This window comes from Homo sapiens, chromosome 1, assembly GCF_000001405.40.
Source record: "Homo sapiens chromosome 1, GRCh38.p14 Primary Assembly".
Lineage (NCBI taxonomy): Eukaryota > Metazoa > Chordata > Mammalia > Primates > Hominidae > Homo > Homo sapiens.
The window spans coordinates 97,370,079-97,396,038 of NC_000001.11; the positions used below are offsets into that span (position 1 = coordinate 97,370,079).

Here is a 25,960-nt window from a genome sequence, read left to right on the forward strand (position 1 = left end):
ACATACGTGTGCATGTGTCTTTATAGTAAAATGATTTATAATCCTTTGGGTATATACCCAGTAATAGGATTGCTGGGTCAAATGGTATTTCTGGTTCTAGATCCTTGAGGAATCACCACACTGTCTTCCACAATATACACCATGGAATACTATGCAGCCATAAAAAATCGAGTTTATGTGCTTTTCAGGGACATGGATGAAGCTGGAAGCCATCATTCTCAGCAAACTAACACAGGAACAGAAAACAAAACACCACATTCTCACTCATAAATGGGAGTTGAACAACAAGAACACATGGACACAGGGAGGGAAACATCATCACACACCGGGGCCTGTTGGGGGTTGGGGGGTCAGAGGGCTGAGAGCATTAGGACAAATATCTAATGCATGCAGGGCTTAAAACCTAGATGATGGGTTGATAGGTGCAGCAAACCACCATGGGACATATATACCTATGTAACAAACCTGCACGTTCAGCTCATGTATCCCAGAACTTAAAGCAAATTTTTTTTTAAAAAGAGCAACACAATATGCACTTGTTTATTTCTTTGTTTTTGTTTTAACAATGCTCTTTAAAGTTAGTTTAAAAATAACAGTAGCCTGCTATTTTTAATGTTAACATTAACAGAAAATTAAAGCTTAAAGGAGATTTAAAGATCATTTAGTTCAAATCCCATATTTTAGAGATGGACACTTATCCTTCAGGAGAGCAAGTGGCTTGATAAAGGTGACACAGATGGCTGATGGAATGAATACATGAGACTACTTTTAAACACTTAGCAATGCTGAGGTGTTTTAAGATTTGATATGAAGCTTTGTTTTGCAGGAATACACAATGCAATTTCCCAAGGTCAGCTTGAGATTCTGTTTCCATAAATTTCATAAATAAATATGGAACCCATAATGTTGCAGAGTATGGATTACGGCCTTCCCTCTTCATAAATTTCATGATTTTTAATCACTTATTTTATATAGATGTGTATATATAAGCTTATATATATGTATATATATCAGTGTTACATCTATATAATGTTGATTACACACAGGCAAATTACTTAGGTACAAAGGCAGCATTTTTCACTCATTAAATATTTGTGAGAAAATATTTGAGATAAAGGAGAAAAAAATCAAGTATTTAGAGAGGAATGTGTACTGAACAAGAAAGTGTCTCTGGCAGATAAATATTTTAGCCATGGAACCGACAGCATGTCTAATTCGTGAAGCAAATATTAATCAGGCTCTGACCATGCATGCAGCTCTGTGCTTAGCACATAGTAAGTTTTCAACAGATGAAATGCAAGATCACATAGCAATGGGGAAGAGGGACTAGAATGACTCTTCAGTCCCCCACCACTGAGTATAAATTCTGCACCCCACCAATTGGCAAGTGTTCAAGACTTTGGAACTTAGAGAGGTAAAGGGAGAAGCAATGGGAATAGGAGGCAGAGAAGGGGTAAAAGGAACTAGAGGAAAAGGCAAATAAGCCCAAGTGTGTTTGTGCTCACTTCAGAAAGTCAGAGTCACAGAAAAGCATTTTTTAAAATGCACTAATATTCTGCCTTCCCTTTATTTAAAATATGGAACATTCATGTGTCCTCAGGCAGAGAAATCATTTAAAATATGTTGGAACAAAAATGATTAAATTAGCTTTATTCTTCAATCATATAATTTACAAGAGAATATCATTCAAAAGAAAATTTCTAAACTTGGCTGATATGAAGAATTGGTTTCAGTTGTAGAGATTATAACTAATAAGTGAAATGGAAATGTTCCTAAATTTTTTTCAGCCAAGATATCATGGTTTTTGGAACATGTGTTTTCCAAGAGTTTTTAGAAAGCTTAATGATATCTCTGATTGCAAAGTTTTAGCATTTGGCATTCTCATTCAGCCAAAGGCTGTGCAAAACTTTATGTGGCTAAATAACTCTCCAGAAAGGATGCACCTAAGACACTTAATGGCTGAGTAAATTCAGATGTGCTCATATAGCAAAAGCCTACTCCAAAAAATAAACTCAGGTGGGACTAGGGCAACATTTTCAAAATAATTGTCGTATTTGTGGTAAGAGAGAAATATTGAATTGCATTCTCCCCTAACAAAGCAATCAATAGATTTAAAACCTCCGTAGTTGTTTCTATCCATGTAGCTAAAAAATACTTCGGTTCTGAGATTCACAGACTGTGAAACAAGTGGAGGGACAATCTTGACTTGAGATGGGAAAAGAATACTAACTCAGCCCCCATTCCAGGTATCCTTTAAGGAATCCTTCTCATTTTAATCACATTACTTAAATGCTACTATCTAATCATGTGACTCATAAAAGTCACGATTCAATGTCATGTTTTCCCTATACTAGATAGTTCTGAGTCTTGGTTCTGTTATCATATATCATAGTTACTGATCTTCTGGGCAACCTGTTGTGAGTGGAACAGAGAATATATTTGAAGAATATTTGACTAGACCCTCCTTTCTTGTTGTTACATAAAAATGGTTTCTCCTTAAGTCACAAATCTATTCTGCATGTTAAATATTTACAAAGTACTTTAAAATTCTTCCTGAATGCTAATACAAAGATAGCAATCTATGTTCATTTAAATAAGCAGAAATGTTTGCCCTCCCAAATTAAGGGCCTCTGAGTTTAATTCAAATCAATTTGATGACTTGAGAGAAAAAAAAAAAGGTGGGGACCTACTAAGTACAAGATCCTGTGCCAGACATGGAGATAAAATAAACTTTCCAGGACTAGACAATCCGTCAGAAATTACTACATTTCACATTATTTAATTCACACCATTTCCTTCTGGGCTTAAAAGGTAAATTATAAGATGCAAAATACTCACCTTTTTAGCATTAAGTTTTTACAGTGCTCCTTAACATCCAACATTTAACTAGTTACATAAAGATGCAGTGTTTTCTATATATTAACATATTATTTCACATTTTGTTCATTAGGCTTTTGAAAGTATTTTAGTATGAAGGTTCCATTTATTGTATCCAAAAATAAAAATAGCATCAAAGTCTTTTTGCAACTCCCCAAACACAGTTAGTGAATAATGATCGTATGCTAAAAAATGTAAAATGCAATTTGTGCCGTGCCCCATTTACTACAAAATCACTACGAACAATGCATTTTGTACAGTATATTGCTCCAGGGAAACTGGATCGGCATCAGGAATGAATAAAGAACACTGCATTTGAAATCAGCTAATTCTGCTTCAGCGCTTTTAAAAACTATTTGTTATGATATTACTTCCTGTCAAGCACATAATGTGATATTTTCCTCAATAAAACTAAACAGTTGCTATAATTTCAGCTTCCCTCATTTTCCACTTTTTAAACACTAAATATTTAAACAATGCAGACCTGGAAGTCTCTAGCCAGTCATCTGATCCATGCATCTCCTTGCCTAAGGTATAGTAACTATCCATACGGGGGCCTGTTATGTCACACTGACATACTTAGTGGCAGCTGTCAAGGTCCTTACCTGCCCACAGGCCAGGCCCATTCCTCTTTCTCCCATGCCATGTGGACATGATAAATTTAACTCCAGGGCATCTGCTCCAGAATCCTTTAAACAAGAAAGGAAAATGAAAGAAAAGGCAAAGCTTTATTTATATACCAATAGGCTTTCACCGTTGATAACACAAGTCACATTTGTCAAGTGTTAACTATTCTGTTTTCTGCATCACAGCTATCTTGTGAGGTATAGTCTCTCTCTCTCAAATTAAGGTCTATATAACAACCACCACCACAACAACAATCACACACCAAATATTTACTCAGTGCTCATAAGGGGCCACTCACTGCTCTATATGTTTTATATTTGTTACCTCTAATTCTCATAATCTTTGTATTATTATGCTACCAAGTTTACAGGCATGTGAACTGAAGCATAGGGAGGTTAAATGACAAGCTTAGTTATTAGGTGACACAGTAGAGATTGTAACTCAGATCTGTTTGACATCACATTTATTCCTTCCTAAATAGCTTCTATTTTTATGGACACAAATCTTACTAATTATGGATAACTGATGCTGGGATTAGGCATACAAACAAAAATGTAGTAGGCTAGCTAGAATGAATAAGCAAAATGTAAAATGTTTTTAACAGAAAATCAACATTATCATACTTAAAAACAGTTTGTCTAAGAAATAGGAAGTATTGATAGTTTTGTCTTAATTACTTAATAGGAATCCTTCTTATTTAAATCATTAATTCCTTGATATACAAATAGATCTTGTATAAATGAACAACATAATTCATTCTAAGTATTCTTGGAATACTTTGAGAATCTTAGAATTCGTGGGAAGTCTTCTGTAAAGAACATGAAGAATAAACAAAACACTTTTAAAAGTTATTATAGGCCGGGCACAGTGGCTCACGCCTGTAATCCCAGCACTTTGGGAGGCCAAGGCAGGCAGATCATGAGGTCAGGAGATCGAGATCATCCTGGCTAACACAGTGAAACTCCGTCTCTACTAAAAATACAAAAATTAGCCGGGCATGGTGGTGGGCGCCTGTAGTCCCAGCTACTCAGGAGGCTGAGGCAGGAGAATGGCGTGAACCCAGGAGGCGCAGCTTGCAGTAAGCTGAGATCGCACCACTGCACTCCAGCCTGGGAAAGAGCAAGACTCCGTCTCAGAAAAAAAAAAAAAAAAAAAAAAAAAAAAAAAGTTATTATAGTGGCCGGGTGCAGTGGCTCACAACTGTAATCCTAGCACGGTGGGAGGATTGCCTGAGCTTAGGATTTCAAGACCAGCCAGGCAACACAGTGAAACCCCATCTCTACCAAAATACAAAAGATTAGCTGGGTGTGGCGGCCTGTGCCTGTAATCCCAGCTACTTGGGAAGCTGAGGCAGGAGAATCGCTTGAACCTGGGAGGCGGAGGTGGCAGTGAGCTGAGACCATGCCACTGCACTCCAGCCTGGGTGACACAGCGAGACTCCAGTTCCAAAAAAAAAAAAAAAAAAAGTTATTACAGTAATTTTAGAGATGGAGGAATAAACTAGCTGATTCAAATTTTATATTCTTTTACCTAACTTCTATAATTTTTCCAGTGCCGCGGTTTATTTTTCGGTAAGGCCAACTAGAAGCTTGAATTGGTTATAAGAGTATTTTAACAGGTTTATCACATGCAAAGGCTTAAAAAATAGTTCACTACTTTCTAAGTACACCAGACCTTTCTTTAGGGCAACAGTTGTTTCTTCTTTCTCTTTCCTTCCTAATTGTTTAAGATTTTAGCCTATTTTTTCCTGCTTTGTGAATTTTAAGTAGGACCTCAACAAATTTAAGAACTCCAGCTAGTCATTAATCGGTTGATAGTCTTGCCTATCTTTATTCATTAGTGAGTCTGCTTTTTCTTCTGCACATTTGTTAAAGTCCATTTGATCATTGAGCCTGTTTTTAACATGGTTTCCTTATGGTTTTGCTTTCCTAATCCGATTTTAAAGGTCTTCATGTTATTTGAGAGTTGCTGAAAACCATGCTGCTCTTTCCTTGATGGTTTGGTAGTGAGCATGGATGAGCACAGCCTGCTGAACCCTGAGTTCTAATCTTACGCCTGTAGCTAAGGAATTGGGGATGATTTGGACAAGTCAGTCAATCTTCTTTGTCTCCAGCTGCTCAAGTGTCAACTGTGGATAATATGACCTGTCTCAAAACCATGTCATGCGGTAATTACCAGCTTAGTGAAAAGATTGTATAGTGCAAGTATACACTTATAACATGTTTCTTATTATTTCCTGGTTACTTCAAATATTTCCTGTAGACTTCTCTATTTAACTGAAATGCAGCAATTAACAGCAAATCAATTCAACATCATTTTGGATTAAATAAGGCTTTGCATAATAATTTTATACATATTTACATTATGCATATTTCATTTCAAACTTACACCTAGCTACCATATTACACAATAATAGCTTACATTAATTGAGCATTTACAATATGCCAGATACTTTACTATGTCCTTTGTATGTTTTATCTTACTTTATCTTCACAGCAACTCTAAGAGGTAGGATATATCATCATTTCTACTTTACAATTGATAAAACTGAGACATAAAGAGTTCAAGTGATTTATCCAACATCCCACAGCTTATAGCTGATAGTAGGGTCTTGAACTCAAGCATTTTGAGTCCAGGACCTGCATTTATACCCACTATTATAATTTACTACAAATCACTTATTTTATGGCTGGAGTTGTCATAGTGTGTTACGAAAAACATAACAGCTCAATATCCTTACAGCTTCCAAGCTTGAAGTAAAAATTAAAATATTTTAAAATCACCTGTTCAATATAAAATTTTTTCACTGACTAATTATTATAATTTCCCCAACATTATACACATATACAAATGCCCACTCACCAAACACACCTGGCAAGGCCTTTGAAATGTGTATCCAAGCCTCAAAAACAGACAATGCTGTTCAAGGTGACACCATGAGAACAGGAACATTCATGTGGCCTCTGCTTGAAAATTCCTGTCTCAGGATGCACACCACCTTAAAAGGCAGTTAATTCCATTTCCAAGCAACTCTAACCATTCAAAAAGCCTTAATTGCTGAATTAGCATGAAATGTTAAATTAACTGAAATTGGGCATGCATTCTGATTCTTGTTAGTCACAAGCTTTTTAGTTTAGTCACTTACCCAGAGTTTATTCCACCTCACCTAAATGGTTATAAAATGAAATATCCTAGTGATGGCAGTGACATAGGAAATACACTGTTACTAATTTCCTACATTATCTATTTATCATCCATCTATACACAGTAGAAAGAGAGAGTTTGTGTGTGTGTGTGTGTGTGTGTATATATATATATATGGTGTGGACTCTGAGCCAAACTATAGGTTTGAATCCCACTTTTACTCCATCCTAGCTGTGTGAACTTGAACACACTCTTTCACTACTTTTGGCCTTAGTTTCCTCAAAAAAAGAAAAAAAAAAGGAAAACATCAAGTCAGAGAAGCTAGAACTCCAAAAAATATTAAAAATTAAAAATAAAAATATATTTAAAAAGTGGAACTAAGTCACAGAGTTGTTGTTGTAAGGCATAAATAAATTTGATATTTGCACAGAAGAGTTCTAGGGAGATGTATTTTTAAATGTTTCCAAGGCTAACACAGGAAATGAAAGGTGCCAAAAAAGAAAGTTTATTTTTTACAGTTTTAAGTAAACAGAAAAGAAAAATAAGAGCTTTAACATATATAAGAGTTTAAAGAGGAGTGATAAAAAATAAAAGTAAATGACTTCTGGAATGTAGTAAATACTATAAAGGTGTATACTATCTATCTAAATACTTTATCTATCTACCTATCAATCATCTATCTATCTAAATACTTATCTATCCATCCAAATAGACCTCTGACTTGTCCTTCCTCTGCCTTGATATGAAAATGATTTAAGATAACTCACCTGGTCCTACATTGTCTATACCTCAGGAGGGAAAGGAAAACTATCCTGAGAAATTCTTGGAATATGACAGTGGTATAGTTTTTAAAATTCTCTGAACCACTTTATAAAAACACCCAGAGAAACTAAGGTGGCAAAACCACAAACTCTTGTGCAACATATACAATGAAATCATGCACAAAGCATTTCTCCTCTCTTCTCCTTCTTTCCTTACCTCTTCCTTTCTTTCCCTTACCTTCCTGATCAATACAGCTCTAAAGTCACTGGTCAGGCAGGGCAAGACAGGTGAGCACGAGCATTTGAGGAGCCATGAGGGCCCAGTGTGGGATGTCACAGCCTAAGCGGAGCAGAGCCAGAAGGATGTCTACATGGCCAGTGGCATGGTGTGGTATATCACGGTCCAAGTGGGAAGGGAAGACGTCCGTGGGTGATAAGGTCTGGCAAAGGACATCAGAGCTCAAGTAGGGTGAGAACAGTGTACTGTACTGGGGCATGAAAGGCACAGTTATTGGATTCCCTCTTAACTTCTTCTGTTAAATGAATACATGGGGTCAGATGTTGACTTTCCAAGTAGCAATGCTATCCTCTAGTCTCAACTATTCAAAACTGGAGTTAAAGTTCTCTGGGATCTTAAACCTCTCTGAGATAGACCTGGGACAGGTAAAACACTCTTGGCTTGGGCCCCACTGGATGTAAAGTCAGTTACTATCTCTCATCTCCAGCTGCGTGTCTATCTCCTGTGATTCCATTCTGTCCTGTTACTGTCCCTGTTCAGAGACTTAACATCCAACTGGTCCTACATATCTCTGTAATGTGCCTCTGTTTGATTTTTACCTCAAACTATTTGGGATTTCTAACTCTCACAGCTATTTAATTCATGACATATTGCTGTCCAGATTCAGGTAAAGAAACTGATAGGAAACTGGCTTGTTAGTGTTTTAGTGTTTTATTTTGGCCCCGCCAGGAATAGTGTGGTCACTTGGTTTTAATGCCTATGCCTTTCTGCTGGACCTTCCTTGTCTCTTCCTACCAAAGGTGGTCAGAACCTTGGCAATCTCTCATCAGGTACCTGACTTAAAATCATCATCACTGGATTTTAAACACTTCAAGTTCATGGGTGCCAAATAAAATACCATTCTTCCCATTTATTCTGTAATGGCTTCCTTTTTGTTTGTCACATGGCAATACTCGAACTGTATACTTCTTTTTTACTTCATTCAACAAATATCTGCTGGTAAAGAAAGCCTTGTGCTTGGAATTGAGGATTAAGCAGTGAACCATGCAAGGGTCTCGACCCCCACGGAACTTGCTTTCTAACAAGCAGGACAGAGGAACTATTAGTAGTGGCCAATGACACAACTGTTAATCACCACTTTATTATATGCTACAGAGGAAAAACACAGACAGAGGTAGATCCAGATTTTGGGGAGCCTAATGCTTAAATAATTTGGAAAACCCTCTTTAAGGAAAAAACAATAATCAAACATTGTAAACACAGAGTTAGGTACAGGGACTTGCAAGTGGCCCATGCAAGTAAATGCCCTGAAGCTTAAGCTTCATTAACTATCTGGTCAACTGGCCTCTGAAGACAGGGTCTTACAGAATAGGACAGGGAGGTTTAAACTACGTAGCCAGAGGCTCAGGACTGAGGAAGAGAGAACATTGCAGGCCAAGGGAACAGGAAAAGCTCTGAGTTGGGAACGTGTTGGAGGAGGAAAAGAAGGCAGCGGGATCTGGAATGCAGAAAACAGACCCACAGTGACAATGGGGAGAGGCAGGCAGGGCAGGGGCCAAGTAGCACTTAATGGTCAAGTTAAGGGTTCTGAAATTAGGAAAGATGGAAAGAATTTGGATTGGTTGAGAGCAAGAAGATTAGTGGAGCTATTGTAGTTAAACTTGGTAATGATGCATTTTGGACCACAGCCAATTATACGCTTCCTCAAATTTGATGGCCCTACTTGTCACCCAGGAATTTTGCCACTAGTTAAAGGGGAGCCCCAGTCCCTTTTGCTATCTTCACATCTCCTATAGTAACTGTCCGCTCTCACAGACTCCCTCCAGATGAGAGTGGGTTGTGTCACAACCTCCACTGAGCCTGTCAAAGTGAGAGCTCCAGGAGCACCAGTGCCCAGGCCCCATCAGGAGGCTCTGGCCTTCCCCTACAATTCTGGGTTTAGAAGAAGCATCACACCCCATGCTAGCAAATCTAGCTTCCCTAGCAGCTGCCCTGAAGGGGCAGGACATGCAACTCAAAAGTTCAGAGGAAAGGAGAGCCCTACGGAGTGAAATGGGGCCAGTGAGAGACAGGAGACTGAAGGAGCCAGTAGACTCATTCCTTCCACTTCCTTTCCTAGAAAGTGATGAGAGAATGGGTGATTCTATCATCTTGTGAAATGATGTGCTATTCCCTGTCCCATATGACTGAGCAATTGGCTCCATTTCCTTGTGAAGTTGTGGCCAGCTCTGGAATGCACCATATTGCACTTGTTTTCCCTTCTTCCCATCTCATTTTTCTTTTCTCCTCAGTCTTTCTGCTCTGAGATTGTATACTTCAATAAAGCTTTTTCACATTAACTTTTACTCGGGCTCTATTTTCAAGGCTGATTACAAATTACAAAAGAAATTGATTCAAGATCGACTACACTGGATTAAAGATCCATTTACAAGTGAATATTGTGAACCTTCAGAAATGGCTCAGTTTGGCATATATCTGATTGCTCCCTATTACTCATCTTTGTTTTGGCTAGCCAGGGACTTTATACATAGTAGGTGTTTCATAAATCTTCTTTTGCATAGAATTGGAGTAGACTACCAAGGTTCCAGAAAAGCAAGAGAGCCTGTGATCAGGTACCTGGATCAAGAAAACTAACTAGATTCTAACAATGCTACTAATTTGACACAAGCAGTAGAAACTTCTTTGTGGTGCTCAAAAACATGACAAATTCAAACCAGGTTGAAGAATATAGAACATGAAATGCATGTGCATTCTAAGGCTCTACTGCTCCATATGTGTCATTTCTGTTTCAGATGAAGTAGTAAAAAGCTGATAGCAGGTTTCCTCAGCTCTCCATTGTGTAATTCAAGAATTAATCTGCCATAAAGACAGTTTTATAAACTTAAGGTTTAGTATACATCATCATCACATCACAGCATTAGCTAAACTTGAAACAGTTGGCATGCTAGAGTGTTGGTGTGGTGTCTCTGATTTCTTACATCCCTATATCACCACCCCAAAAGAAATGTATATGTTAGGTAGTACAGTAATTTTGACTTGAATATGTTTTTGTTGGTTTGTTTTAACGTGGGTTTTTCCATTGTAAGGAAATCTGTTTTAACCGGTTTTGAAGCATATTCATAAAACCAAAACCAAATACTGATTCTACAAAACGTTATTGGGTGCCTACCATATGAGCTGTGATGAAATCATGCTGCTTAATGCTACCCTCCTAGAAGCTGTGAAGGCCTGCGGGATACTTCCTTCATATGATATCTCCTGGGCTAGTCCAGACTTAAGATTATAGTGAATATTTTTATTTTTTAATTGACATTATCATAACCTCTTGTTATGTAGACTGCTCTCCTATGGAGAGATTTTGCAGACTGTTTTGATTGAACAAAAGGCATACCTTTTCCTCCCTTCTTTCTTTTTTTTCTTTCTTCCTTTCTTTTTATTTATGTTTTTGCTACAGAGTAATTAGAAGGTGATATTAAATAAAACTGAAATTAAAGAAAAATATGAAATGTGAAAAATATCTTTAGGTTAGCTAGTTTGCTTATAATTAAAGGCTTTTGACTTATAAAAAGTAATGTTGTCTATTTAAAAATTAATGTCTAATATTGAAAAAAATAATTTTGAAAAGTATTTTGTTCTTACAGAAAGGCAGAGAAGCAAGCGGCATGATAAAGCCATTCATCATAGTCAGCTTAAAATTGGCAAAGCTCATGCCAAGCATGGGCTCTGTGGAAGATTTCATGGTCAATTAGGTAAATACATGTATCAAATGAACCCAGCATGGAAGATCACGAGGCCAATTACTGATCATGTTTAATTTCACCCCTCTAAGTCCCAGTAGTAATTTTTCCCTTCTCAGTTTTAAAATATCCAAATAAAATGTATAATCAACATTTTTGAACACTACAGACAGCTTTGCAATATTTTATAATGTAGCGTCAATTAGTTCATTGGTATAGTTAGATTTAGTCTTCTACATTACTGAGAGGTTTTCAAGGAACCCCAGCTAAGACTCTCCAGACTATTTTCCATGACAGCATGATGGACATAAGTGTATAATTTTAAGTATGTATTTTTCTATTTGAAATACAAATTTAAGGCACATGGTTACTTGTTTGCATTTGTGCAGGATTCAATTTATATTATGGAAAACCTGCTGACTAGTGTTCCATTCAGGAGCATTCTGTCCCGCTCTTTTATGCATGTCTGTATTCAAACTAGAATAGTATTAAATGAACCTTTTATACTTTAAATATTCAAGAGTTTTATATTCAAAATTTCTTCTCTTACTGTCAAACTAGTTTGCCTAAAGGCAAGGTAAGATCAAGTTAGACTCTCAAAGGTAGAATTAAATTTTATCATGGCATCCATCATAATATACAGTTTGCTTAACATGCAAATAAAGAGTGTATGGATTCAGAGAATAAAGGATTTTTAGGTAGTGTGTGAAATCCAAGGGACCGCTTTTATAGAATAAATTCCTTTTAAATTTACATTTCCATCATTTTAATGAAAACACAGGGTAAACAAATTATAATAGAAATGTTTTAAGTTACATTTTCAATTCAGTTTTACTTCTACTGTATTATTTCTCATGGCAGCTCTTTATTTAAAACTAATAAAAATAGGAGAGAAGAAATAAAATAAATATATACTAAAGTAACCATTACCTCAGACTTCTTGGCAAGTTCCGTCCAGTCATTTTTATTGTAACTGCACATAATGCTAGCAATCACAATCTTTAAAAAGAAAAACAAAAGAATATAAGTTCAAGTAGTTATCCAGTTGTACACAAAGATATATTAATATTTACATAAATTTATAATGGTAAACTATATTATAAAATTAGTTTTCAAACTGTGAAAAAATAAATCATTAGAAAATAGCAGGGTAAGATAGCAAAACACTGGATGACATTTGGGGCTTTGGAATTACATTAGGAGATTTTCTCATTTACTATCTGTGAACACTTGGGCAAGTTACTTAACTTTTCTGATCCTCAGCATTCTCTTTTTCAAAATAGAGAGGATTTTACTGGCTTTGCCATCCTCTGAAAGTAGCAATGTAAATACATGCATGTACGTGAAGGGATTGTCTAATTATACAATGCCATTAAAATGCTGTTTGTAATTACTGGTACAGTGAAAAGGTTTTAAGTGATGGAAAAGAAAAAAAATAGTGTCTCTTTCAAACATAACTCACTATAGTACACATAATAATATCTTAAATATTCATAGTGCATTATAGTTTTAAATTTTATTATGTATTGATTATTTAACTACATTATTACAGAAATCCCATAATGGAGACTGTATAGAGTAGTAATTACCAATGCCTCCTCTGAAACTAGGATGTCCAGGTTAGAACCCTGACTCTGTCACTTACTTGTGGCCCTGAGCAAAGTATTTAGTTTCCTGATTGGTAAAATATGAATAATCGTGCCACTTATTAAGAAAAGTAATAACAGAAATTGGCCAGGCGTGGTGGCTCACGCTTGTAATCCCAATACTTTGGGAGGCAGAGGCGGGTGGATCACTTGAGGTCAGGAGTTCGAGACCAACCTGGCCAACATTGTAAAACCCCATCTCTACTAAAAATACAAAAATTAGCCAGGTGTGGTGGCGTGTGCCTGTAATTCCAGCTACTCGGGAGGCAGAGACAGGAGAATTGCTTGAACCAGGAGGTGGAAGTTGCAGTGAGCCAAGATTGCACCACTGCACTCCAGCCTGGGCAACAGAGCGAGACTCTGTCTCAAAAAAAAAAAAAGAAAAAAAGAAAAAAAGAAAAGAAAAGTAATAAAAGAAATTGCTAAGACTTACATAGCTCTTACAGTGTGCTTGGCACTGTTTCAATGGTTTTTACTTTATTAACTTATTTAATCATTCCCAATGTTATTCTCCCCACTTTATAGATGAAGACGCCAAGGCAATGACACCTGACAGTCATATAGCTGATAAGGAACAGCGCCAGGACCCAGAGCCAGGCAGTGTGACTGAGCAAGAGTCTGTGCTTTTAACGACTAGGTTTTGCTAGCCCAAAGCACATACTTGATACACGTAAGTAATTATTTCCTACCATTATCATTTAAAGACTATGAGATTGAGGCTGGGTGCAGTAGCTCACGCCTGTAATCCCAGCACTTTGGGAGGCCAAAGCAGGAAGATCGCTTGAGCCCAGAAATTCATGACCAACCTGGGAAACAGAGCAATACCTTGCCTCCACAAAAAAATAGAAAAATTAGCTGGGTGTGGTGCCCTGCCCCTGTAGTCCCAGCCACTCAGGAAGCTGAGATGGGAGGATCACTTGAATCCAGGTGTTCAAGGTTACAGGGAGGTATGATTGCATTACTGCACTCCGGCCTGGGCAACAGAGCGAGATTCTATCTCCATAAAATAAAAAAATAAAGACTAAGAGATTGAGACACAAAGAGTTTGTGCCAAGCTTAAAGTTGCAGAGTCTAGTGGTAAGAGTCCTCTAAAAGCCACTGTGCTCTCACTACATAGAGCTTTTTTATTTACTTTGAGAAAAAAAAAAAAAAAGATATGCTGTAAAAGTCAGATAAACGTTTTCATCAGGAGAATAGAAAGTTGTGACCATATTGGAGAGAGTTCTAAAAACCAGGGAAAGAAGCATGTCTTTAAAGTTTTTTTTTTCTTTTTCTTTCTGGATAGACTATAAACACCATGAAAGCTGGAGCTGCTCTGCATTAGTCATCATCTATCTACAGTAACTAGCATGGTATTTGGCACGTATCAAAGACTGAAAGAATAAATGAATGAGGTCACCAGAGGTTTAGGAGCAAGGGGTTGCATTATCAGCTAACCCTTTTAAGAAGATTAAGTAGAAATGGATACCATAAGTTAGAGAAGTGAAAAATAAACAATTGAAAACTGCTGGCGATTATATGAGTAAGAGTGAAGAGTGATTAGGGCTGATGAAGGTATCTGTCTTGGTGATGAAAAAATAATCAGATATTAAAATACACAGGACTAGTCAACTAGAGAAGCAATTAAAAAGAAGGAAGCAAAAGATCTGAGACTCTGAATCAAAGCCACTGAGAAATTCGCAGACCATTAGTCACAAAAAGGTTGAACAACGTTCCGAAATATGGAAGCCAGAAGAAACAGCAATTTTGAATAGATTCCTTAGAGAGAGGAACAAAGAGAAGAAAGTAAAAGTAGATGATGGATAGAGAAGGAAAATTAAGCATGCCAAATTATTGTTCATTGAGTTTAGGATTCAATTTTTTTCGTCTAGTGAAACTACAGCTTTTCAGAATTGGGGAGAAAAATGTAAGAATGCTTGTTCCATGGCCTTTTCCCTAGGGGCTAAAAAAGTGAGAAGTCATACTCCAAGCTTCATTTGCAAGTATAAAAGGGGCACCATGTAATTACACAGCTTCAGTTAGAGATGCTTTCCGCCCTTTCCAAGTGATCTAAGAGCTCAGGGATGCTATGCCCTATTCTCCAGTTAGAAAAAAGATCAGGGAGAACTATCAAAGAGGGCACCAGATCTTCCAGGACTAGACCTAATACCTCTTGGTGTAGGCATTCCTTGCAAAAAAAAAAAAAAAAAAAAAAAAAAAAAAAAAAAAAAGAGAGAGAGAGATTAAGGACCTTATTTGAAAGGAAAAATCAACTGGGGAATGGGCAGAGCCCTGAGGCTTATTGCTAGAACTTCAAGGGCAGAGACAGATACAGAGATACAGACTGAAGAAGAAGAAAAAATTAGCTATTAGATACTAGTTACCCTGTGGCGAAACTGATAAGCAATATGCATAGATTTTTAGAAAATTTTTTTCTTAAAAAAAAAAAAACAAAATAAAACAATAACAACAACAACCACAAAACCCCCACCTCCTAACATAACAAAATAATCCCCCAATTCACATTCTCATGCAACTATGAAGTGGCTGCTCAATCAGCACAGTCACAGCATGTGCACCTCCCTCTCCAGCTCCCCTCTCAGGGTTCCACAGAGGACAAGAAAAACCTTTCTCGTGGGCTGAATCTAGCCAGGCAGATGGGTTGACCACAGAAATCCACAGCAGGGAAGCAAGGTTTAGCAGCCTTGACAGTAGGATAAGATATATCCTCTCAAGTAGGGACTAACACTGTTTCTCTCTTTTACATGGCAATTTTAATTTTAACAGAGCTATTTTTGCTTCAAATTTATATTGACTGTGCCAGGTTGGTTAATTGTTCACCCTGTAGGTTGCTGAGAAGCATGAGGCACTACAATTGGACTTGATGAAGGGAAATAAATATCATACAGAGAGTTGTTCAGGACATTGCGAGAATCATGCCACTGAATGCTGGTGGGGCAGCCTCTGACTGGGGAGGGGTGACCACAGATGGGAGAGATACATTATGGTAAGCAGTGGTTTCCATTGTATGCTCTGAGCAGCCAAGCACTACCCTGTTCTCCTTTCCCTATCCATTGAAAGCAGACTCTATCTTCTTGCCCAGAAAGATGAGAAAGTATCCCCACCTGCACTGATCATAGGAATTAGGTACTCTGCTTCTATCAAAATCCCTCAGTGGAACTGGGAAAGTTAAAACTTTTTTTTTTTTCTCCTTGGTCACTAAACTGGAATGAAGTTTATTCAGAGCTGCTGTTGATCACTGATTCCTCATTTAACCACTTTCCAATCCCAAAGCTTACTACACTGGGAAAAAATAAAACAGAGACAGGAGAAAGTAGACAAACACACAGGATGGAGAGAGATCCCCTTTGCAGCCACTTTTAAGGCTGGGTGCCTCACTAACATATCTGCATATTTAAACTAATAAATACCACACTTTGGCTTAAGGAAATTCTATTTTTACATTCTTGTTTCTATGATTTAACAGTCTTGACAATTACTACATGCAAAACTAAAGTTGTCATGTTTTGAAGAAATTTTCAAAGCAATTTTTTAAATCAATTAAATTTCAGGAAAAATGACTTTATATTTATTTTAAAAATGTGAAATGGTCTAAGGATTCTAAATATCCTTATCTAAAGCCAGAGGATGGTTTGTGAAAATATGTGGTAGCATTCTATTTCTGAGAAATAAAGATGACCAAAAAATAATTTTACTTTTTATTAAAAGAGAAAGCAATTTTTAAAAGAGTCAGGCTAAAAGACATTAACAGTAAAAGGACACTGGACATAATTTAATATTTATTTGATAATTAGGAAGCCCTTCAGTATTTTGCTGTACTCCGTTTTTAATCAAGCAGGAGGGAACAGATTTTTTTTCCTAAGAAAAAAAACCAGAATGATGGATATTTTATATCGTGAAACATCATGCAATGTTATTAGAAATAAATACCCAATGAAATATATTTTTAAATAAAAGCAACATTTTTCTATATCAATATTTCACTTAATTTATGCCATTTCTAGTGCTCAATTTTTATGGCTCATATTTTAAAACATTATTGAATGAAGAGATAGTGAAACCCAGATGCTACACAGTATTTGAACTTTGTCTTCCCCCATCCTACAGTTTATGTTACACAGTCTGGTGGGAGATTCAATGTCACCTAATTGATTAATAAGCAAATTGAGCATCTAATATAAGAGGAATTAAATGGCACACAAAAAGGAGCTTGAGACATTGACTTAGCATTTTCGTGTATTCAACTTCTAACCAATATTTCTTGAGCTCCACTATATGCCAACAGCTGTTCTAACTCAGAAGTGATGAACAAGACAGAAAAAGTCCCTGCCCTCCTGAAGCTTACATTTTAGGGAGGAAAATGTCATAATGAGTTAAAAAAAGATACTTTAATTGGACCATTTCCAGTTCCAATTGTTAGACCTATTTATAATATTATTTTTAGGAAGGTAGTAATAGAGGAGGAGAGCATGACAGAGAATCACCAGAATACATAAATGCATGTCAGACACATGGTCAGTAAAAAGCTCCCTGAGTTGAAAACTGAGAGATGAGATGGCACCTCACATTAAATAAAATGTGGAAGTGAGTAAAAGCAGCCAGGTATGTAGAAGTAACTGCAGGTGCAAAGACTGAGGTGGGAATGAGCATGGTATGTTCAAGGGGAAAAAAGAAGGCTTTTGTGGTTGTAGATTCATGAGAGGACAGGAATAGTATGAAAGAAAATGAGAGAAGCAGGCAATAGCCAGATCTCTGGGAGCTCTGAACCCTGTGGGAGATTGGGTTTTATTGTTGGTGTAATGGGAGGCCGCAGAAAGGTTTAAAGGAGGGTGATAAAATAATCTGATGTACATTTTCAAAAGATGCTTGTGACTATAGGGAATAGGATAAGTGGGTTAAGGGTGAAAGCAAGGAGTCTGATTATGTTGAAATAATGTGGCTTTCATAATATCCACGGAGATACAGAGAAGTGGATAGTTCTGAGGTTCTAGTTGGTGAATGCTTAGATTCAGAGAGACATAGAGAAAAGTAGAAATTAAGAATGATCCTAGATATTTGGCTTGAACTACTGAACTGTGGAATGTAGACAATTTACTGAGATAGAATAAAGCCTAATGAAGAAAGTATTGAAGAGGTCCAATTTTAATATTTTATATTTAGTATGTCTAGTAAGCATAGCATTAGTGAAGACATCAATTGTGCCACTGGATATATGAGTGGAGAATTCACTAAAGAGGTCAAGGATAAAGGTGCAAGTTTTAGAGACTTCAAAATAAAATGGTATTTGAAGTCACCAGGCTAGATGACTTCACAAAAGGAAGAAAATAATATAGAGAAAAAGAAAGGCCCTAGGACTGACCTGGGGGCACAAGAGAGTGTGATGTCGTGCCAAGAGAAGGAAGTGTTCCAAAAAGTAAGGAACAATCAACCGTGATGAATGCTTCTGAAAGTCTGTGTCAAAGAGTAGAAACGTGTCCACTGGATTTGAAGAGACAAAAACCATTCGTAACCTTTAAAACAGGGGTTTCAGGGAAGTGACAGGACAAAAGTCAGGCTAGAATGAATTGAGTGAATAGAATATGAAGAAGTAGAGGCAATACATGAATCTCTCTAAAGGTTTTCTTGGGCTAGCTAAAAGACAAATGAAGGCAGCCTGTACAAGATCACGGGAGGACTAATGATGTTTTCTTAATGGACTATATTTGAGTATGTTTTTACACTAGTGAAAATGATTTGGGAAAGAGAAAGAAGCTCTTGAGAAGGGAAGAGGGGATGATGAATCGAGAGTACAAGTGGAGAAAGTGGGCTTTAAGAGAGGCAGAGGCATTGTTTGTATCTAACAGGATAGAAGACGAGTAGAGAGAGAAACAAATAAGTATGGATGCATTTAGGTTTCTAAATTCGATGTGGAAAAAGTAAAATCATTCTTCTTGGTGTCTACATTTTCTTTATGAACTAGGGTGTAAGGTCTCTTACTGAGAGTAAAGAGAACTAGTTATGGGTTTGTGACTATGAGGAAGAGATAAAATGTGAAATAGTCTCTAAAAATGGGCCAAGCATGGTGGCTCATATGCCTGTAATCCCAGCTACTCAGGAGGCTGAGGCAGGAGAATGGCTTGAGCCCAGGAGTTTTGAGGCTTCAGTGAGCCATGATTGTACCTCTGCACTACAGCCTGGGCGACAGAATGAGATTTTGTCTTTGAAAAAAAAAAAAAACGAAGAAAGAAAAGAAAGGGAAAGCAAATTTACTAGAACATGGTATGATTATGAGGTCAAAAAGGCAGATATTTAATCAGTGTTGATAATATTTATGAAAAATATGATTAGTAAAAATCAAAGGACAAGTTGATTTACAAAGTTGGAACACAGATTACAGTCCCCTTTATATTACTGAAAACATGAAATTGGGTTTTATAGATTGTCTTAGAGTTGAGACCCATCTTATCAAGATGCTTTTTAGTGCTTAAGTCATTAAAATTTGATATGCTCCTGAAAAGCCATTCTTTTAGTGAATTCTGCTTCGTAGAAAATACTTTTAAATTGGAGTATTTAATAGTTTTGACTTTCATTTTGACTAATTAATACAACTTAAGAAAATGTATACACTTTTTGTAAACATCTAATTTCTATGAGACATTAACATTTTGAAGCATATAAAATGCAAAGTATGATAATTTACTAATCAAATTTTGCATATTTCTTTCTCTCTAAAAGGTATCTCAAAGGTGAAAAACAATGTGCAGATGCTTATTTGGCAAAAAAAAAAAAAGTAGTGCTATATGGCTTCCATTGTCATCCTTTGAAATTTTAAATAAAAGAATCAAATTTAATGGTCAACTTTTTTTGTTTTGACAATTCCATTTCCTTAGGGAATAAATAAAATTATTTTATTAAGTAGCTTTTAAAAACTGAATTTCATTAAAGTTTACACATTAAAAATTAAGGTGAAGAACAACATAAAACTTGCAATGGCTTACAATAACATGCAGGCTGTCTTGTCAAATTCCCATTGACTTCAGGTCTATGCTTTTTAAAACACATTGACAATGCTATTTTGGTATTCTGTAACCATACTGTGAACTACATAGGAAATCCAGTCAACAATTCAGCTTCAAGACAATCTAAATTTTTTAGTAGGGAAAAACTGCAAAGTGACGGGGGTGAACAACTATAAATTACAAGCAGCCAAGTTAGGTTTTGTCAAACAATTCAACAAAATCATTCCTAAGACTACTGGGATTACATTGATGAGGAAAAACAGCATGAGACATTTGATTTTCAAAGACATTTAAACAAAGAAAATAAGTTTATTAAATGTTAATTAACCATACAACATTCAAATTTTAGATGTCCTTTATGCCTTAGTTCAAATTTAGTGAAAGTGAGATTGGTGCAATATTCCTGAAATATATACATTGACTATAAGACATTTAAGGTGAAATAATAAGCTTTTCTAATTTTATTTGTTCATTGCTTACTTAATGGTCATAAATGAGACTAGTATGCTTACAAGTTGTCTTTTAAAATTATTTAAAAATTCATCATTTTTTGGTTTATTTTGGGGCTGACAAATGTCTTATTTACACAACTATTTCAAATATAGAAAAGTAACATTTAAACAATATACAAGAGTTTCTATAAAAAATCAGAGATGTTTTCCAACACAACAGGAAACAACCACTGTACCACTCTAGGAGCTACAGTAACTTGCTTTTTCCTCCCCTTTTGATCACTCCATAATATATTTTTATTTAGTTTCTGTCCCCAATATGCTTAGGAACTGATCTCCCCAAGGTTAACAGTGACCTCACCAAATATATTATATACTTTTCAGCCCAGATCTGTACTAAACTCTCTTCAGCATTTAAGACTACTAACCACCTCCAGTTTCTTGAACCCCTCTTCTAACTGAGCTTTGGAGATACCACTTACTTTTCCTCTTTTTTTTTTTTTTTTTGGTGTTCTTTTTCTACCTCTGTCAATTTCTCACATGTTGATGCTCCCAGAGTCCACTCACAGTCCTCTTTTAGTCTCATTTCACATGCATTCACTAGACATCATATTCGCAATGACTGTAAATAATATCTATTAATACATGCAGAAAATCTCGAAAGTGTATACCTCTAAACTGCATCTTTTTCCTAAGTGCAAGAATTGCATATACGACTACCCGTTAGCACTTAATTTCCATTTGTCCAAAACCAAACTTAAATTTCTCCACTCTAAATTTGCTTATTTATCCACACTATATATGCTTTTGTTTCACTCTTTTGTCCCAGATCAGAAAACTAGGAATACCTATCTTTGTCGCCCACATCCAGTGATTAACCAAGTACTTGGCTGAGCATTGAAATTACCTAGAGAGTTAAAAAATAATAATAATTCCAAGGATTCTGTGTTACCTTGTATGGAGTGAGGTGCAGGCATCAGAGTTTTTCAAGTCTCTCTAGGTGGTCCTAAAGTACAGGGAAGTTTGAGAAGTACTGCTCTAGTTTATTTTCCAAATATCTCCAGGTTCCTCATTGTGACTACATTAAGATCCTCACCATTTCTTCCCTGGATTACTGCAGAAGATTCCTTATTAGTTGCCCCATATCTGATTTCAGCCAATACTATCTGCCAAAGTATTCTAAAGAGACAAACCTCCTCATATCACACTTTGGCTTCAAATCCAATTTCAGGATAAAATAATAGGCTATACAAGACCATAGTGCAACTTTTGCTTTGACCACACTGAATTGCTTTGCTTTCTGAGTGTAATTTGCATGCTGAATTCTCTTGATCATATGTCTGTTTCTTTTGTCTAAATGTATAAGGAATGGTCAAAGCACATGGCATAATAAAGGAAACATGAAAATTGATACAAAAAAAATAATACTAACTAAGATAAAATGAGAGCAAAAGAAAGGGTAATCATTTGTAACTGTGTGAATCAGGGAAGGCACCATACAACAGGAACACTTGGCCAATTATGAAATCACCCATGGACATTTAGAGGTATACCTCGAAGATATTGCAGGTTTGATTCCAGATGACAGCACTAAAACTAATATCACAATAAAGCAAGTCACACAAATATTTTGGTTTCCCAGTGCATAAAAGTTATGTTTTCACTACAATCAACTGAGCCTTTGGTGAATCATAATCTTTTTGCTAAAGGAATGTCTTGTCTTGATGGTGATAGCTGCTGATTGATCAGGCTGGTTATTACTGAAAGCTGTAGCATTTTCTTTCTCACTCTTTTTTTTCCTTCTTTTTTTTTTCTAGATAGGGTCTTGCTCCGTCACCTATGCTGGAGGGCAGTGGTGGGATTATAGCTTACCGTGGCATCGAATTCCTGGGTGCTGTAGCAATTTCTTAAAATAAGACAATAAAGTTTGCTAGATTGATTGACTCCTCCTTTCACAAGAGATTTCTCTGTAGCATGTGATGCTGTTTCATAGCATTTTATCCACAGTAGAACTTCTTTCAATCCTCTTAAATCTCTAAAACTCAGTTACTGCTTTATCAAATAGGTTTATGGAATATTCTAAATCTTTTGTTTTTATTTCAACAACGTTCACAGCATCTTCACCAGGAGTAGATTTCATCTCAAGCAACCACTTTCTTTGCTCATTCATAAGAAGTAACTCCTCATCTCTTCAAGTTTTATCATGAGATTGCAGGAATTCAGTCACATCCTTAGGCTCCACTTCTCATTATTGTTCTCTTGCTATTTCTCTAATCTGTAGTGACTTCCTCCACTGAAGTCTTGAATCCCTCACAAGGCTTGCAATCAATTTCTTCCAAACTCCTGTTAATGCAGACATCTGACTTCCTCTCATGATTCACAAATGTTCTTAAGGGCATCTAGAATGGTTTGATATTCTATCCAGACCACTAAAATGTTATCCAGACCACTAAAATGTTCTCCATACCAGCAATAAGGCTGTTTTCTTTCTTATCATTTGTGTGTTCACTGGAGTAACATTTCTAATTTCCTTCAAAAACTCTTCCTTTGCATTCACACTTTAGCTAACTATTTGGAACAAGAGGTCTAGTTTTTGCCCTATCTCAGCTTTCAACATGTCTTTCTCACTAATCTTAATCATTTCTAGCTTTGGATTAAAGTGAGAGACATGCAACTCTTCCTTTCACTTGAACACTTAGAGGCCATTGTTGAGTTGTTAAATAGCCTATTTTCTTTTTTTTTTAAATTATTATACTTTAAGTTCTAGGGTACATGTTCACAACGTTCAGGTTTGTTACATATGTATACATGTGCCATGTTGGTGTGCTGCACCCATTAACTCGTCATTTACATTAGGTATATCTCCTAATGCTATCCCTCCCCACTCCCCCCACCCCACAACAGGCCCCGGTGTGTGATGTTCCCTACCTTGTGTCCAAGTGTTCTCATTGTTCAGTTCCCACCTATGAGTGAGAACATGCGGTGTTTGGTTTTCTGTCCTTGGGATAGTTTGCTCAGAATGATGGTTTCCAGCTTCATCCATGTCCCTACAAAGGACATGGACTCATCCTTTTTTATGGCTGCATAGTATTCCATGGTGTATATGTTCCACATTTTCTTAATCCAGTCTATCATTGATGGACATTTGGGTTGGTTCCAAGTCTGCTATTGTGAATAGTGCCACAATAAACATATGTGTGTATGTGTCTTTATAGCAGCATGATTTATAATCCTTTGGGTATATACTCAGTAATGGGATCACTGGGTCAAATGGTATTTCTAGTTCTAGATCCTTGAGGAACTGCCACACTGTCTTCCACAATGGTTGAATTAGTTTACAGTCCCACCAACAGTGTAAAAGTGTTCCTATTTCTCCATATCCTCTCCAGCACCTGTTGTTTCCTGACTTTTTAATGATGGCCATTCTAACTGGTGTGAGATGGTATCTCATTGTGGTTTTGATTTGCATTTCTCTGATGGCTGGTGACGATGAGCATCTTTTCATGTGTCTTTTGGCTGCATAAATGTCTTCTTTTGAGAAGTGTCTGTTCATATCCTTCACCCACTTTTTGATGGGGTTGTTTGATTTTTTCTTGTAAATTTGTTTAAGTTCTTTGTAGATTCTGGATATTAGCCCTTTGTCAGATGAGCAGATTGTAAAAATTTTCTCCCATTCTGTAGGTTGCCTGTTCACTCTGACGGTAGTTTCTTTTGCTGTGCAGAAGCTCTTTAGTTTAATTAGATCCCGTTTGTCAATTTTGGTTTTTGTTGCCATTGCTTTTCGTGTTTTAGTCATGAAGTACTTTAAATAGCCTAATTTCAATATTGTCGCATCTCAGGGAACAGGGAGGCCTGAAGAGACTGACGGAATGAGGGATTTGCCCATGAGTGTAGCAGTCAGAACACACACAGTATTTATCAATTAAGTTTTCCATATTCAACGGGTGTTCGTGGCACCTGAAAGCACTTAACAATAATATCAAAGATCACTAATCACAGATCACCATAACAGGTGTAGCAATAATGAAGAAGTTTGAAATATTGCAAGAATTACCAAAATATGAACACAGAAACATGAAGTGAGTGTATGCTGTTTGAAAAGTGGCACCAATAGACTTGTTAGAAGCAGGATTGCCACAAACCTTCAATTTGTAAAAAAAGCAATATTGCAATAAAATGAGGTATGTCTGTATTGGAAATTGATTTCAAAATCCAAGGAGGTAGAGTACTCCAGGTAGAGTGAGCAGCAAGATCAAAAGCAAAGGATGGTGTATTTAAGGAATATGCTGTGTTTAAGAAATCTCAGGTAGTTCAATTTGGCTGACTTTGAAACAAATGGTTACGTTTCATAAAAAATGAAGCAAGATATCTAAGTAGGAATCTGGTTTATGCAGGTAAGGGACAAAACAATGGTTTCTAATCAGCTAAGCATTTGGATTTGAATTTTCGATCATTTTCTCTAGTAAATTCGTGCTTCTCATGTAGACATTGCCTTCTGGGATGCCTCTCCTGTGCCCTATTGCTCCTCTGACTTCCTTTGGCACCCCTCTTCTGAGATTCCTCAGTATCCTTTGCATTTTTCTGCTATGACATGTATTTGTTTATATATTTTATATATTTTTAAATTATATATTTTAATATATATTGTGCCTTTCTACATTCTAGAGACAGAATAAGGACACATAGATGGTAAAGGTAAGGGGTTCTAGATCCTTTTATAATTTATAAAGTACATTTTATATCAAAAATAATTTTTCATTATATTTGTTTCTGTATTTACAGTTTAGTACAGATTTTCACATACATTATCTCATTTATCCCCCACAACAATCTTGAATTTGGAGAATCTTATACTGATAATAATGAGGCATGGATAATTTAAATTACTTTACCAGGGTCAAGTTAATCAATAGCAAAGGCAGGGATTAAGCTCAGGTCTTTTGATTCCAAGTTCCTCTCTACTACATCAAGACTATACCATATTGATTTCCTATCCTTTCAATTTACATTAGAGATTCTAGTTGATTTTATGTCTTCAACCCTCTCGTGGTAGATTGTTTGAAAAAATTGTTCCCTCCTGGTTTCCATGCCACTTCGGAAGGACTCCCATCAAGTGGGGGCATTTATCTACCCAACCTTTGGGTGTGCGCTGATTTTGTGACTTGTTTTAATCAGTAGAACATGGTAGAGGTGATGATGTACCAGAGTTAAACCAAGGCTTGAAGGGGCCTGGTGCTTTTCTGCTTACTCTCTTGAAATCCTACCAAGACGACAAGCCAGCATAGGTTCCTGAAGGATGACAGACCACATGACACACAGACAAGCCATCCAGCTGAGGCTGACCTAGATTAGCCAGTCCCTAGCCCACCTGGAACTTGACCACAGATGGCATAAGACCAAGTGAGGCCAGAAGAACCATGCAGCATAGCCCAGTTAAGCAAATTGCTAACATCCTGAATCAAGAACTAAATTAATAATTG

General features: G+C 36.6%; 1 protein-coding gene and 2 long non-coding RNA genes across 9 annotated transcripts in view; 2 read left to right on the plus strand and 1 right to left on the minus strand.

Annotated features, from left to right (window-relative positions):
* The window catches only part of LOC105378867 (uncharacterized), a 48,351-nt gene extending 32,420 nt beyond the window's left edge, over positions 1-15,931 (plus strand). The window contains exons 3-4 of one of the 2 annotated variants that reach the window (XR_007066237.1): positions 13,556-13,700; positions 15,858-15,931. This is a non-coding gene — a long non-coding RNA (uncharacterized LOC105378867). Of the gene's footprint in view, positions 1-13,555; positions 13,701-14,315; positions 15,241-15,857 lie in introns of those variants that run through there. The other variant, XR_007066236.1, reaches the window with a different exon arrangement.
* Positions 1-25,960, minus strand: part of DPYD (dihydropyrimidine dehydrogenase) — an 843,317-nt gene that overhangs the window by 292,336 nt on the left and 525,021 nt on the right. For all 6 annotated transcript variants that reach the window (XM_047448077.1, XM_017000507.2, XM_005270562.3 and 3 more), the window contains 2 exons: positions 12,315-12,383; positions 3,483-3,566 (listed from right to left, as the gene is read on the minus strand). In XM_047448077.1, the coding sequence (XP_047304033.1) occupies positions 3,483-3,566; positions 12,315-12,383 (153 nt within the window). The remainder of the gene's footprint in view (positions 1-3,482; positions 3,567-12,314; positions 12,384-25,960) is intronic.
* LOC124904226 (uncharacterized) lies at positions 15,933-19,867 on the plus strand. The gene is made up of 2 exons (XR_007066239.1): positions 15,933-16,016; positions 19,745-19,867. It is a non-coding gene; the product is annotated as an uncharacterized LOC124904226 (long non-coding RNA).